A 15702-nucleotide genomic window follows, 5' to 3' on the forward strand; every position below is an offset into this window, starting at 1 on the left:
AAGATTGCCAAAGAACCAGGCAACGTGAGTATCCAGGTGCACAGAATCGTCAGGAATTGTGGTAATTCTATTACTGTAAATACTTTTTTCATGAGAATTGTAGTTTGTATTTTTGTTCTGTCCCCAGCCATTTCTTCCTTTCAATTTTGGTCCTATAACTTCTGAAATATGAATATAAATTGTTTTGCTTGATTTGATTCATTTCTGTTACTGACAACAAAAGTTCTATCTAATATACTTTATATATTTTCTAAAAACTTTGCTCTAAAATATTTCAATATTTTCAATGTTCATGTTTTTTGTGTACATGCAAAGAACAAAAAACTAAATTAACTTTTTCTGAATGTTAAATAACTTTTTTAGAAAATTTGGTGAGTTAACTAGATGAACAAATGCGTAGCATTTATGGGAAATAAACAGAGCATATACATTATTTTCAAACACCAGAAAAAGTATTTATAACAAAAAGTTTTATGCCTAAAAATGAAGCTAACATCGTGAAAGTAGAAATCCAGCAGATCATATTTCTTGTTTAAATTTTAGTTTAGGTTCAGGGGTACATATGCAGGTATTCATGTGGGTGAATTGTGTGTCACGGGGGTTTGGTATACAAATAGTTTCATCACCCAGGTAATAAGCATAGTACCTGACAGGTAGCTTTTCAATCCTTACCCTTTTCCCACCCTCCCCAGTGTCTTTTACTTTCTTTGTGTCCATATGTACACAATATTTAGATCCAACTTATAAGTCAGAAAGTGCAGTATTTGGTTTACTGTCCCTGTGTTAGTTTGCTTAGGATAATGGCCTGCAGCGCCATCCATGTTGATGCAACGGACATGATTTTCTTCTTTTACGGTGGTGTAGTATTCCATAGTGTACATTTACTACATTTATTTTATCCGGTCTACCATTGCTGGGCTAAATTAGGTTGATTCCACATCTTTGCTATCATGAATAGTGCTGCAATGAACATATGCATGCATGTATCTTTATGGTAGAATGTTTTATATTCCTTTGGGTATGTGTACCCAGTAATGGGACTGCTGGTTCTAAGTTATTTGAGAAATCTCCTAACTGCTTTCCACAATGGCTAAACTAATGTACATTCCCACCATCAGTGTACAAGCATTCCCTTTTCTCTGAAACCTCACCAGTATCTGTTATTTTTAACTTTTTATTATAGCCATTCTGACTGGTGTGAGATGGTATCTCACTGTGGTTTTGATTTGCATTTCTCTAATGATTAGTGACATTAAGCATTTCTTCATATGCTTGTTGGCTGCATGTATGTCTTCTTTTGAAAAGTATCAGTTCGTGTTTTTTGCCCATTTCTTAAAGGGGTTGTTTTTTGCTTGTTAATTTGTTTCTGTTTGTTATTGATTCCGGATATTAAACCTTTGTTGGATGCATCGTTTGCAAATATTTTCTTCCAATCTGTAGGTTGTCTGCTTACTCTGTTGATAGTTTTTTTGTTTGTTTGTTTTTTTGCTGTGCAAAAGCTATTTAGTTTAATTAGGTCCCATTTTTCAATTTTTGTTTTTGTTGCAACTGATTTTGGCATTTTCATCATGAAATCTTTGCCCCCAAGTCCTATGTCCAGAATGGTATTTCCTAAGTTATCTTCCAGGGGTTTTATAGAAATAAATTAACTTTTAATATTAGTTAATACAATTTAAGAAAATAAATGGCAATAGATATTTATATTACGTGGGTTTAGTCACTCTCAACTAATATTTCACATACATCTGTAAAATCTTGAGTGTAACATTGCTGTTAGATGAGCATATTCTGATTATTGCTTTTTTCTGGCTTTTTTCTTACTTTTTTCACTGGGCAAAATCATTTTGTACCAATGGCTTATTTCTCTTTATTATTGAGTACTATTCCATTGTATAGATATATTACCATTTGTTTATCAGTTCATATGTTGAAGGACTTTTCAACTTTACCTATTAAAAATAGCAATTAAAAATAAACTGTTTTTAAAATTTTATGAATATTCATATATGTTTTTTCGTGAACATAGGCTTTCACATCCTAATGACAAATGACTAGGAATAAAAAGCCTGCATCACATGTTAGGTACATGTTTAACTTTTTAAAAAAAATTTTGTGGGTATATAGTAGGAGTATATATTTATGGTGTAACTAAGATTTTTCTGATACAGGCATGCAACGTGAAATAAGCACATTGTGAAGATGTTTAACATCTTAAGACATTGCCAAAGTGGTTGTACCATTTTTTTTTTTGCAACCAGCAGTGTAAGAAATGCCCCTTCCTCCACATCCTTGCCAACATTCGATATGATCAATCTTTGTAATTATAGCCTATCAATAATTATGTAGTGGTATCTCATCTTGATTTTGATTTGCATTTCTCTAATGACTAAATGATATTGAGCATCTCTTTTTTTGCTTATTGCCATCTCTATATCATCATCTTTGATGACAAGCATGGTCATATATTTTGCCCATTTTATTCAGTTGTTTTGTATTGAGTTTTGACAGATCTTTATATATTCTATTAGACATATCTTATTCTATTTATATATATTCTATTAGACAGATATTTATATACTCTATTAGACACATATTTTTCAAATATTTTCTCCCAGTCCATAGCTTGTCCTTTTTGTTTTCTTTCCTTTCGTCAAACTTTATTTTAGTATCAGGGGTACATGTGCAGGTTGTTTATATAGGTATATTGCATGATGCTGAGGTTTAGAGTATGAATGAGTCTGTCACCCAAGTAATGAGCATAGTACCCAATAGGTACTTTTTTTCAACCCTTAACCTGTTCCCTCTGTCCTCTCTCCTGTATTTCCCAATGTCTATTGTCTCTTGTTCCCATTTGTATGACCATGTCTACTCAATGTTTAGCTCCCACTTGTAAGTGACAACATTTGGTATCTGGAGTTCTGTTTCTGTGTTAGTCCACTTAGGATAATGGTTTCCAGCAGCATCCATGTTGCTGCAAAGAACATGATTTTGTTCTTTTTATGGCTGCTTAGTACTCCACGGTGCATATGTACCACATTTTCTGTATCCAGTTTCCCATTGGTGGGCACCTGGGTTGATTCCATGCCTTTGCTATTGTGAATTGTAGCTTGTTTTTCATTCTCCTCACAGTATCTTCCAAATAGCACAAGCTTTTACATTTTGATAGAGCCAAATTTGTTAATTTTTCCTTTTGTGATTGTGCCTTTGGCTGTTGTGTCTCAGAAATTTTCACCTTATACAAGGTCACAAAATTTTTCTCCTGTGATTCCTTCTACAAGTTTTGTTGCATTCAGACTTATTTCTAGGTCTGTAATACATTTTGAGCTTACTTTTGCGTATGCCGCAAGACATCAATCAAAGTGCATTGCATGAATGTTTATATCCAGTTGTTGCCAAATCACTTGTTCTTTAAGACTATCATTTCTCCACAGAATTATTTTTCACTTTTGCTAAAAATCAATTGTACATGTTTGTATATGTCTAAGTTATCTATTCAGTTCCATTGATGTATTTCTCTATATTAATGTCAACAGCATACACTCTTGATGACAAAGCTTTATAGTCAACCTTGAAATAAAGGTACCTCTACTATTTGTTCTCCTTTTTCCCATATATTCTTTTTCCTATTTTTCAGACAACTTTTGGATTATCTTAGTATTTTTTATAATTCAATTTAGATCCTTTGTTGACTAATAGTATAAGAACTTTACAGTAATATATCTCCTTCTAGCTTTTGTTATTATTTTCATCCATTATATTTACATACATATTATAATAATATATTGTTATTTTGTTTACTTAAACAGTTCATATCTTTTTCACAGCTTGAAATATAATTCACATATACAATTAACCAATTTAAAATATCTAATTCAGTATTTTTAGTGTATTTACAAGGTTGTGTAACTATTATCACAATCTCATTTTAGAATATTTTAGTTCCTCCTTAAAAAAAAAAAAGAAAAGAAAAACATACCCATTAGTTATCACCTCCCATTTCTCAAGGTTGTCAAGGTTCATCCATGTTGTAGCATGCATTGGTACTTCATTTTTTATTGCCAAATAGTATTCAACTGTGTGTTATGCAACATGTTATATTTGAACAGTTACTTCTATCTTTCAATTATTATGATTAAACCTACTATGAACATTTGTGTAGAAGTGTTTTGTGGGTATATGTTTTTACTTCTCTTAGTAGAAATGGAAATGCTTGGTAATAAGGTATCTTCATGTTTAATCTTCTGACTGTTTAACTAAGCTGTTTTCCAAAATGGCTACGCCAACTTACATTTTCACCAGCAATGCATTAGGGTCCAATTTCTCCACATCCTTGACAATGATTATTATCTGTTTTCTTGATCATAGCCATTTTAGTGGATGTGAAGTGGTAGTTTTGATTTTTATTTATCTGAAAAGTGATAAATGATGCTCAACATCTTTATTATCATTATTATTATTTTTGCTTATTGGCCATTTGTATATCTTTTTTGAAGAAATGCATATTCAAATTCTTTGCTCATTTAAAATTGTTTTTATCGTTCGGTCATAGGCATTCTTTATGGCTTCTGAATAGAAATCTCTGATCAGATACAGATTTGAAAATTAATTTCTGTAAAAAAGCCAGCTGGAGTTTTGATAGACACTGCATTGTCTATAGTTCAATTTAGAGTACTGACATCTTAACAGTATTAACTCTTCCAATCCATGAGCACAAGATGTTCTTTCATTTTTGTAGATCTTTTTTAATTCTGTGAGATTAGGTTTTATGGTTTTCAGTGTATAAGTTTACACTTCTATTAAATGTATAACTAAATATTATTTTTGATGCATTATAAATGGAATTATTTTCTTAATGTTATTTTTACAATGTTTATTGGTAATATATTAAAAGCAATTGATTTTTATGTATTGATCTAATGTTCTGCACCCTTACTGAACTCATTCATTAGTTCCAATAGTTGTATGTGTGAGTATATGTGTTTCTTAGGATACGAGGAAACATACAAGACCATTAAATCTGCCATTAAAGATAGTTCTATTTCTTCCTTCATGATCTGGATGAACTTTGTTTCTTTATCTTGCCTAATTATCCTATCTGGGATCTCCAGCACAATGTTAAACACAAGTGGCAAGAGCAGATATCCTTGCCTTGCTCCTGACCTTAGAAGTAAAGCATTCAGCCTTCCACTATCAAATATAAGGTTATCCGTGGGTTTCTTGTGAATGGCCTACACCAAGTTGAGGAGGTAGTTTTCTATTCCTAGTTTGTTGGGTGTTTTTATCATGAAATGGTATTGTATTTTTTAATGTTTGCTGCCTATATTGAGATGATGATATGAAGTTTATCCTTTCTTCTATTAATATGGTTTATGATACTAATTGATTTTCAGATATTAAACAAACCTTGCATTTCTAAGATAAATCCCACTTGGTCATGTTGTATGTGGTATAACTTTTTTCTTTTTTTCTGAGACAGAGTCTCGCTTTGTCACACAGGCTGGAGCACAGTGGTGAGATCACAGATCACCGCAGCCTGAGACTTTCCAAACTCAAGTTATCCTTCCACCTCCTGAGTGGCTGGAATCACAGAAATGTGCCACCACACCTAGAAATTAAATTTTTTTGTAGAGACAGGGTATCACTATGTTGTCCAAGCTGGTCTCAAACTACTGTGCTCAAACAATCCTCCCACCTCAGCTTCCTAAAGTGCTGGGATTACAGGCGTTAGCCACTACACCCAGCCTGTATGCACGCTTTTTATAAGTTGCAGGATTCAGATCCACAGTATTTTGTTGAGGAGTTATTTTATATATTAATATCCTAATATTCAGCTGGTTTATTGATCTGTAGTTTTCTGTAATGTGTTTGGTTTTGGTATTAGAATAAACGTGACATTTAGACTGAGTTAAGAAATGTTCCCTCCTGCATATTTTGGAAGAGTACAGGAAAGATACTGATCTCTGAATGTTTGGTAGATTCACATTGAAGCCATCTGGGCCTGGGTTTTTCTTTGTGGAAAGTTTTCAAGTTACTATATTGATATATTTACTTGTTTTAGTTCTCTTAATATTTTTAATCAAGAGACAATTGAAGAGGAAATATGCAATTATGTTGCCTTTTGTAATTATCTTTATATTACCTTTATGTTAATTATGTTTTTACATGTGGACTCAAATTATTGTCTAACATCTTTATTTTCAGTATGATAAATTTCCATTTGCATTTCTGTAAGGCATGTCTTCTAGCAATAAATTCTCTGTTTCTTTCTCTTTTTTATTTTTGAAATGTCTTTATCTTCATTTTTGAAAAATAGGTTTTCTGATATAAGCTTCATCTTACTGGTTGTTTGTTTTTATTTTGTTTTAACTTCATCACTTTGTCATCTCATTGCCTCTGGCCTCTATTATTTTCAGAAGAATTTACTATTAATCTTATTGTGATTTTCCTGTACATGATGAGTTGTTTTTCTCTTAGAGCTTTAAAGATATTCTCTTTCTTTTTGACTTTTAATATTTTGGCTGCAGTGTATATAGTTATGATTTTGTTTTTTGCATTTATTCTGCTTGGAGTTATTTAGCTTCTTGGATATGTAAATTACTAGTTTTCCTCACATTCAGGAAGTTTTTAGCCATTTTTTTCATAGAATGTTTTCTTCTGTCCCTTTCATGCTCTCTCTTTTGGTACTCTCATTACGCATATATGGATGGACTTAATGGTCCATCCCACATTTCTCTGAGTCTCTGGTGGGTTTTTTGCAAATTTCTTCTTTATTTTTTAACTTCTATTTTAGGTTCAGGAGTACATGTGCAGGTTTGTTATACAGGTCAATTGTGCATCACAAGGGTTTGCTGTACAGATCATTACCCAAGTGATGAGCATAGTAACCTGATTGATAGGTAGTTTTTCGATCCTCACCTTTCTCCCAGCATCCACCCTCAAGAAGGCCCCACTGTCTGTTGTTCCCTTCTTTGTGTCCATATGTACTCAGTGTTTAGCTTGCAATTACAAGTGAGAACATGCAGCATTTGGTTTACTGTTCCTATGTTAGTTCACTTGGAATAATGACCTCTAGCTCCTTCATGTTGCTGCAAAGGACATGATCTCATTCATTTCTTTGGCTGCATATTATACCATGCTGTATATGTACTACCTTTTCTTTATCCAATCTACCACTGATGGGCATTTAGGTTGATTCTCTGTCTTTTCTATGGTGAATAGTGCTGTCATGAACATACGTGTGCATATGTCTTTATGGTAGAATGATTGTGTCTCTGTGAACAAGTTTTCATTGTTTTTTCTCTCTCCTACTCACATGGCCTCATTTCTAATCATTTATCCTCAAATTCACTAATTATTTCTTTAATGCTAAAACCTACTATTGAGGTCATCTAGTGATTTTCTAATCACTCTTATTTCACTTTTCAATTTCAAAACTTTCACTTGGTTCTTTCTAACAATTTCTGTCTCTTTGTTGACATTTTTTATTTGATGATATATAGTCACCATACTTCCCTGGGGCTAGGGCAGGAGGAGATGGGGAATTGTTATTTAACAGACATAGAGTTTCAGTATTGTGAGATAAAACAGTTCCAGATATTGGATTGCACGATAATGTGAATATATTTAACACTACTGAACTACCCACTAAAAATGGTTAAGACGATAAATGTTGTATATATTTTACCACAACTTTTAAAAATTTAAAGGCTAAACATATCTTTCATGATCAGACCCATTTGTTTTATTTAGCTTCACTTCTAACCACCTCTGGGACCCTTCTCTAACCCTATGTGCCAGCCATCTGGAGCTACTTACCAGTTTCTAAACTCTCCTTGCTTTCTGAGATTTCTCCCTCCAGATACAGTGCTCTCACTCATCTGGTCTTGCAAGCCTACTTGTTTTTCAGAACAACTTTATTGAGATATATTTCACAGGATGTATAATTTGCCCATTTAAACTGCATAATTCAATGGTTTTTAGTATATTTACAGATAAGTTCAACCATCACTTTTAGAACTTCGTAATCACTACAAAGTGAAACTCTGTACTCATTAGCTGTTACTTACCAATCTCCCCATACCCCTTACAGCCCAGTTCTATGCAACTGTTAATCAACTTTCTGTCTCTATAGATTTGTCTCTTCCAGATATTTCATATAAGTGGAATCATATAATATGTGGTTTTCTGTGACTAAATTCTTGTGGATTATTCATACCATGGAATATTATTTGACCATAAAAAGGAATGGAATACTGACATGCGTTTCTGCACAGATTAACCTTGAACCCCAATTTGCATTTCATGCCAAAGATTTGTAGTCTCTTTCCCCAGGAAGTATTCACTGACACCACCAAGATTTAGACAAGTGATCTTTCCAAAAAACGTATTTACCTCTGTTGTAGTCTTTAATTACCTAGTGTACCTCCAATAGATTTGAAACTCTTTTTGACAACCATAAAATGTTACACAAATGTATGTGAAGATATTTTATTAACTGTTTCTCATAAGATCTCATCGATATAAGGAGAAATGGCTCCAGTTAACCCAATTTAGGAACAGAAAAATGAAGATAATTATTTCTCAACCCTGGCTTCACAATGTAATGACCAAAAGAGCTCTTAGAAAATCAATGCCTGTTCACCTACAGAATGGGAGAAAATTTTTGCAGTCTACCCATCTGACAAAGGGCTAATATCCAGAATCTACAAAGAACTTAAACAAATTTACAAAAAAGGCAAACAACCCCATCAAAAAGTGGGCAAAGGATATGAACAGACATTTCTCAAAAGAAGACATTTATGCAGCCCACAGACACATGAAAAAATGCTCATCATCACTGGCCATCAGAGAAATGCAAATCAAAACCACAGTGAGATACCATCTCACACCAGTTAGAATGGTGATCATTAAAAAGTCAGGAAACAACAGGTGCTGGAGAGGATGTGGAGAAATAGGAACACTTTTACACTGTTGATGGGAGTGTAAATTAGTTCAACCACAGTGTGGCGATTCCTCAAGGATCTAGAACTAGAAATACCATTTGACCCAGCCATCCCATTACTGGGTATATACCCAAAGGATTATAAATCTTGCTACTATAAAGACACATGCACACGTATATTTATTGTGGCACTATTCACAATAGCAAAGACTTGGAACCAACCCAAATGCCCATCAATGATAAACTGGATAAAGAAAATATTTCACATATACACCATGGAATACTATGCAGCCATAAAAAAGGATGAGTCCATGTCCTTTACAGGGACATGGATGAAGCTGAAAACCATCATTCTCAGCAAACTATCACAAGGACAGAAAACCAAACACTGCATGTTATCACTCATAGGTGGGAACTGAAGAATGAGAACACTTGGACACAGGGCAGCAAACATCACACACCGGGGGCCTGTCGTGGGGTGGGGGGCTAGGGGAGGGATAGCATTAGGAGAAATACCTAATGTAAATGACGAGTTGATGGGTGCAGCAAACCAACATGGCGCATGTATACCTATGTAACAAACCTGCACGTTGTGCACATGTACCCTAGAACTTAAAGTATAATAAAAAAAAAAAAGAAAGAAAATCAATGCCTGTTCAAGTCTTTGCCCACTTTTTTATGGGGCTGTTTGTTTTTTCTTGAAAATGTGTTTAAGTTCCTTACAGATGCTGGATATTAGACCTTTGTTGGATGCACATGACATAAGCTTAACTAGGTAAAGAAACTGTACATGTACCCATGAACTTAAAATAAAAGTTCAAAAAAAAAATTAATGCCTGGGCCCCACCTCAGGTCAATTGTATGACAATCCATGAGTGGGAGGGTGGGGATACGGGAGCTAGGCACCAAGACATCAGTATTGTTTAAAAGTTTCCCAGCTGATACACAGTCAGAATTTGAAACTACTGAATTTAAACAACTACAGAATCTAAAAAGTCTTTAGTCATCCACTATAATATGTTGCATCTGTAATTACACAGTAATGTAGTCATTAGGTCATGATTTTATTATTTTTAATATATCTACTCTGAATATTATAAAATAACACTGATAAGATAAAATGTACTATGTCCAGAATTGCATAAACTACATCAATTTTTCTGAACACTTTTAATTTTTTGACCTCAAAACAGGAATTTATAGCAAATACATAATTGCCCTGAAATCAATCACTGTTTTGGCCCTCTAAATGGATGGGACACTTGCAGATCTCTCATCTATTTATATTAGTTTTCTCTTCCTTTTTGTATATCTGTTAAATTTTTACACTTCCTTGAGTGCAAAGAGTATGACAAAATATTCTCATTATAAACTATAATGCCATTTACCCACTAGAGTTTTTGGATAATACAAATTCTGTCAAATCTGGTACTGCATATAGACTATGTTGAAAGATGTTTCTCTAGTTTTTCTGATTATAAGAAATGGCAAGCAAGGAAGACAAAATTTTATTTATTTATTTATTTATTTATCTATTTATTTTATTTGTTTGTTTGTTTATTTATTTTGAGACAGAGTTTCACTCTTGTCACCCAGGCCGGAGTGCAGTGGCGTGATCTCAGCTCACTGCAACCTCTGCCTCCCAGGTTCAAGCAATTCTCCTGCCTCAGCTTACCAAGTAGCTGGGATTACAGGCACCTGCCACTGCACCCAGCTAATGTTTGTATTTTTAGTAGAGAAGGGGTTTCGCCATGTTGGCCAGGCTGGTCTGACACTTCTGACTTCAAATTATCTGCCCACCTCGGCCTCCCAAAGTGCTGGAATTACAGGCATGAGCCACCACACCTGGCCAACAAAACTTTTTAAACTTCTTGGATGTTTCCGATAGCATTTTACCCAGTTGATATCTTTGACAAGAATATATCTACAGTACTCTAAACTAACCTGTGTTCTTCTCATTATGAAATTTGAAAACCTTATTTGGAGGGAAATTATTATACAAAAAATCAAATAAATTAACGAATACAAAACATCTCCAACAAACACATTTGAAGATTATAAATGAGCTAGAAGACTGGTTTCTCTATATTAAGATATAACAAAATGATGTTTTACCCTTATAATGACAAAGGCTTTTTAGGTTAAGGATTGGCTAAATATCCAGAGGATGGCAGAGACAACAGAGAAAGAATGGCACACATATACCCAATTTTGTTAATAAATTTAAGTAAGAAAGTATAAAGAGTACAGACAGGATGGATATTTTTAATAATACATCTATAACAATCTGTCTTTAAAACAAACAATGTTTATGACCACACATTAAACTTTTCTTATAACAAAGAGGCAGATTTATTATTATAGTACTGATATCTCCTTCTACCTTAAGAAAAAATAAAATTACCCCTTAATGATGTACAGTATAATCTTTAAACCTGGGGCATATTCTGTCAAGAAAAAAGTATTTTCCCCATGATTTCAAGTGATAAATATTCACAAAAGCCTAGTCTTACTTGGTATTGGATATATGGAGTGCCCCTAGGCATGAACATTATAATATTGGAGTCTCTTTCCATCTTTCTTCAGTTTAGCATTTTAAAAAAACTCCGATTGAGTTAATTTATACAAGATTTGTTGATGTTAGAAAAACAAAAACAGTTTGAATCTATTACACACTCCTGACCTTGAAAATCTCTTTATGAAGGTTTCCAAATTATCTCCAATGAAAGGCATGTAATAATGTTTACATCTCCTCTAGACTTTCTTTTATTTTAGCCTTTGGTGTGCTCTGTCTTTTTGACGTTAATTGTTACATAGAAGAACAAAAATTGATCCAGAATCCAATATATTTTCTGTTTCCTAACCTGTATGCCTTTCCAAATAGCTAGTGTTATGCAGCCCAAGTGAAGCAGAGCTGGACCCTAAACAGGTGGACACATCTGTTCTAGTCCATCAGACTTACACTGACTGTGTTCTGTAATCATTATGGTTTTTATCCCAAATTACAGTGTCAATCTGTTCAGAATTAATATGTATTACTCTACCACTTGTTACAAAATTTTCAGTTTATTTATTGGACCATATCCTTTCCTAATCACTTAGGCACAATTCCCACTGAAAACCTAAAAGAATGACTGTGTTCAGAGGTTATGTTTTCACCTCATGTCAAAAGATATTTTTGCATAAGTGAATAATACTGCTAATCCCAATGTGGATTCCTTATGTATCAATAGTGGGAATTTGTTTGAAATTTTAGGGCACTGATTTGAGTCATTTGTAATCACTTTTCCAACACATGTTATATCCTAGTATGGTTACTTTCAGTATGAAGAGGAAATTGACAAATTATTTAATTCACTTAGAATGAAGCTTATACTGTTAATCCTTGGGAAATTATAATTTTAGTTCCCTTTTATCTTTTGTGTGGGTAGTTTTAAAGACTGCGGGTCCTTGAAGCCATAATTCTGTTTTATTATAACATGATGAAGCACTTGTGATGGTTAATACTGTCAACTTAATTGGATTGAAGAATGCAAAGTATTGTCCCTGGGTGTGTCTTTGAGGGTGTTGCCAAAGGAGATTAACATTTGAGTCAGTGGACTGGGAGAGGCAGACCCACCCTCAAACTGGGTGGGCACGATCTCTAATCAGCTGCCAGAATAGCTAGAATAAAGCAGACAGAACGTGGAAGGACTAGACTGGCTGAGTCTTCCGGCCTTCATCTTTCTCCCATGCTGGATGCTTCCTGCCCTTGAATATCGGACTCCAGGTTCTTCAGCTTTTGGACTCTTGGACCTATACAGTGGTTTACCAGGGTCTCCCGGGCCTTTGGCCACAGGCTGAAGGCTGCACTGTTGGTTTTCCTACTTTTGAGGTTTGGGGACTTGGGCTGGCTTCCTTGGTCCTCAGATGGCAGACGGCCTATTGTGGGACTTCACCTTGTGACTGTGTCAGTCAATACTCCTTAATAAACTCCCTTTCATATATATGTCTATCTTATTAGTCTTGTCCCTCTAGAGAGCCATGGCTAATACATCACTTCACTGTCATTTTCTCTTGCCTCTTCTATGTTCTCTGAAGCTCACTAAATATGTGGATTTTATGGAGGAGAAACGTTACTAATTCATAATTATTATGTAAAGATTAATCTGGCTAACATCCTCTAAATAACTTTCCCAACAGCTGGTGATTTTCTTCTACTTTTTTTTCCTGGTTGATTTGGAGATAGATGAGCCTCAGAAGCTGATGAAAATTAAAAGCAAAATATTTTTTCAAAAGTTAGTCCAGAAATGTGATGGAAGAAAAAGACACTAAGTAATATACTCCATGGATGTATATGTTAAGTTTTCAAAACCACAGAAAATAAAAAGGACAAACAACCGCCAATACTAGTGAGTATAATAACAAAATCATGAATGCATTTCCCTTCCACTCCAAGGTTAATTTAGAAAGAAGAGGAAGTTGCATTATCACTTTTCTAATCAGCAACTCCGCTTCCCTAATACAGCATATGAAATGGCAATAGTGCCTATGGCAATACAAATCCTATTAACTTGAGGCATCAAATATGAAGAAATTAAGACACAAGTTGAAAACAAGATCAGAGAAGAATGATCAGAATTCCCCTTATAAAAAAAAGATCCCTCATCTCTGTGCCTTTTTTAACTTCTTCTTGGTTGCAACACAAAGGCAATGTTCTCCTCAGGTGTTACTGATTGAATGCCAGGCACTGCCCAATAACTCACTTCAGAGTCAATCATGCTAAGTATGCAAATCCTGACTAAATTATTTGAACAAACTGCATTGCAATTATTAGACATGTTATGAGAAAATGTGAACAGCTTGACCAGCAAATTTCCAATATATTTCCCCCCTCAGGCAAGCCTAAAACTTAAAAATAAGACTCCAGAGACTCTGACATTCTTCTCATCACATAACACATACCAGCAGAGAATAAAAAGGAAAAAGAAAAAGACATGAATATTTGAAAAGGCCTTTTGAATCTTGCAGGCATAAAGTAGAAGTATATATCATTCTCTCAGACCCGGAGTCCATGCAGATACACATTGAAAGACATGCTTTGTAACATCATCCTCAGCTGATATGTCAAAGGAAAAGAATTCATTCTCACCTTTTCAGAGTGCCTGTCATTAGGTACATTAATATGGATGAACCACCACAAAATCAAAAAGCAGTAAGAGTGGTGAGTTTAAAGGAAGAAAGACCTTAAACTATATTTAAGTTGGGCTTAAATTTGAGAACGAAACTTGGGGTTTCCATAATTACCTTTTTTTCTCTACTTACCTTAGAAGAAAAAACATTACTAATTAGACTTTCTCTTGAAGTCTATTTGCCAGCATTTCACTAAACATTCCTCAAGCTTCCCTATAAATGAGGGAATGGAACTGATGTGGACAAGTTGAGGAAGATTTGTTTTTTCTGTCATAACATCCCTTATTTGAATGCATCACATTTGACAGTAGAACACAGAAGTATTTGCTTTTCCAATTCATTCTATAACACAAATAATGTTAATTCACAATCAGTTAAGTAGCAACCCAAATGCATTTTATTAACAAAAATTCTTACCAAAAATGTCAATAAGCATAGACATTTCTATAACATTGAATATTCAAAATAAGTTTCTGTTAATTCATATCCCATTCCTATATATGATCTCTACAACACCTAGTTCAATATTTAAGTCATAATTGCACTGGATTACTGTGTATATAATATCATCACTTGGGAAAGAATTTGTCATTAATACACTAACAACGTATTTAGTATCCAGACAATAAATTTGATACCAATTATTAAAGGCAAAGAAAAAAATGAGAGAACAATATAATGTTATTGATAGGGCAACAGCACATAACTTGAGATTTTATTTAAAATTTTTCTTACTTGTCAACCAAGGTATTATCTGTTACTATTGAAATTTTAAGGTGAAATTGTTCTATCAAACCACTACAGAACTTATGTTTTGCTGACCCCAAAATTACTTTAAAAAAGAGAAAAGAACTTTATATTTGTTTACTTCTTGCTAATTTTTGAATCTACCAAATAGTTTTCAACTTTTATATTTCTTTTTTTGGTTTTTTTTTTTTTTTTTTTTTTTGAGATGGAGTCCTGCTCTGTCGCCCAGGCTGGCGTGCAGTGGGGCTAACTCTGTTCACTGCAAGCTCCGCCTCCTGGGTTCACACCACTCTCCTGCCTCAGCCTGCCCAGTAGCTGGGACTACAGGCGGCTGCCACCACGCCTGGCTGTTTTTTGTTTTTTGTTTTTTTGTTTTTGTATTTTTAATAGAGACAGGGTTTCACCACGTCAGCCAGGATGGTCTCGATCTCCTGACCTCATGATCCGCCCACCTCGGCCTCCCAAAGTGCTGGGACCACAGGCGTGAGCCACCGCGCCCAGCCTCAACTTTTATATTCATAATTAATATAATGTCTCAGTGTTAATTTTGAGGTTTCAATCTGAAAAGTGAGTTCATTTTAATGTCTGATCCCAACAGCTAATTTTGGCAAGAATTAGAGAATTACTCAGAAATCTCTCGTAAATTATATTTTTAATACAATTACATCTGATACACTAAATATTGAACAGATGTACAAATATTACATTTCTCTCTCTCCTTGACTGGGGGTTTTAGAGTATTTTATCTGAATCAAATCCAAAATTTTATTTTAGACAATTTTCTTGTGTTAATCGCAGTTTTAAAGGTGGTCAAGGTGGCCGGTTTGGCCATAAGGGTGTGG

General features: G+C 34.2%; 2 long non-coding RNA genes and 1 pseudogene across 3 annotated transcripts in view; 2 read left to right on the forward strand and 1 right to left on the reverse strand.

Annotated features, from left to right (window-relative positions):
* LOC107984684 (uncharacterized) overlaps nucleotides 1-15702 on the forward strand; it is a 28000-nt gene continuing 12298 nt past the window's right edge. The window contains exon 1 of the long non-coding RNA XR_001750691.2: nucleotides 1-61. This is a non-coding gene — a long non-coding RNA (uncharacterized LOC107984684). The remainder of the gene's footprint in view (nucleotides 62-15702) is intronic.
* The window catches only part of LINC02300 (long intergenic non-protein coding RNA 2300), a 24751-nt gene continuing 19845 nt past the window's right edge, over nucleotides 10797-15702 (reverse strand). The window contains exons 3-4 of one of the 2 annotated variants that reach the window (XR_943666.3): nucleotides 14246-14455; nucleotides 12679-13183 (exon numbers count right to left, since the gene is read on the reverse strand). This is a non-coding gene — a long non-coding RNA (long intergenic non-protein coding RNA 2300). Of the gene's footprint in view, nucleotides 14456-15702 lie in introns of both variants that reach the window. The other variant, XR_001750690.2, reaches the window with a different exon arrangement.
* The window catches only part of EIF4A1P12 (eukaryotic translation initiation factor 4A1 pseudogene 12), a 144-nt pseudogene continuing 104 nt past the window's right edge, over nucleotides 15663-15702 (forward strand).

Source organism: Homo sapiens, chromosome 14 (genome assembly GCF_000001405.40).
Source record: "Homo sapiens chromosome 14, GRCh38.p14 Primary Assembly".
Classification (NCBI taxonomy): Eukaryota; Metazoa; Chordata; class Mammalia; order Primates; family Hominidae; genus Homo; species Homo sapiens.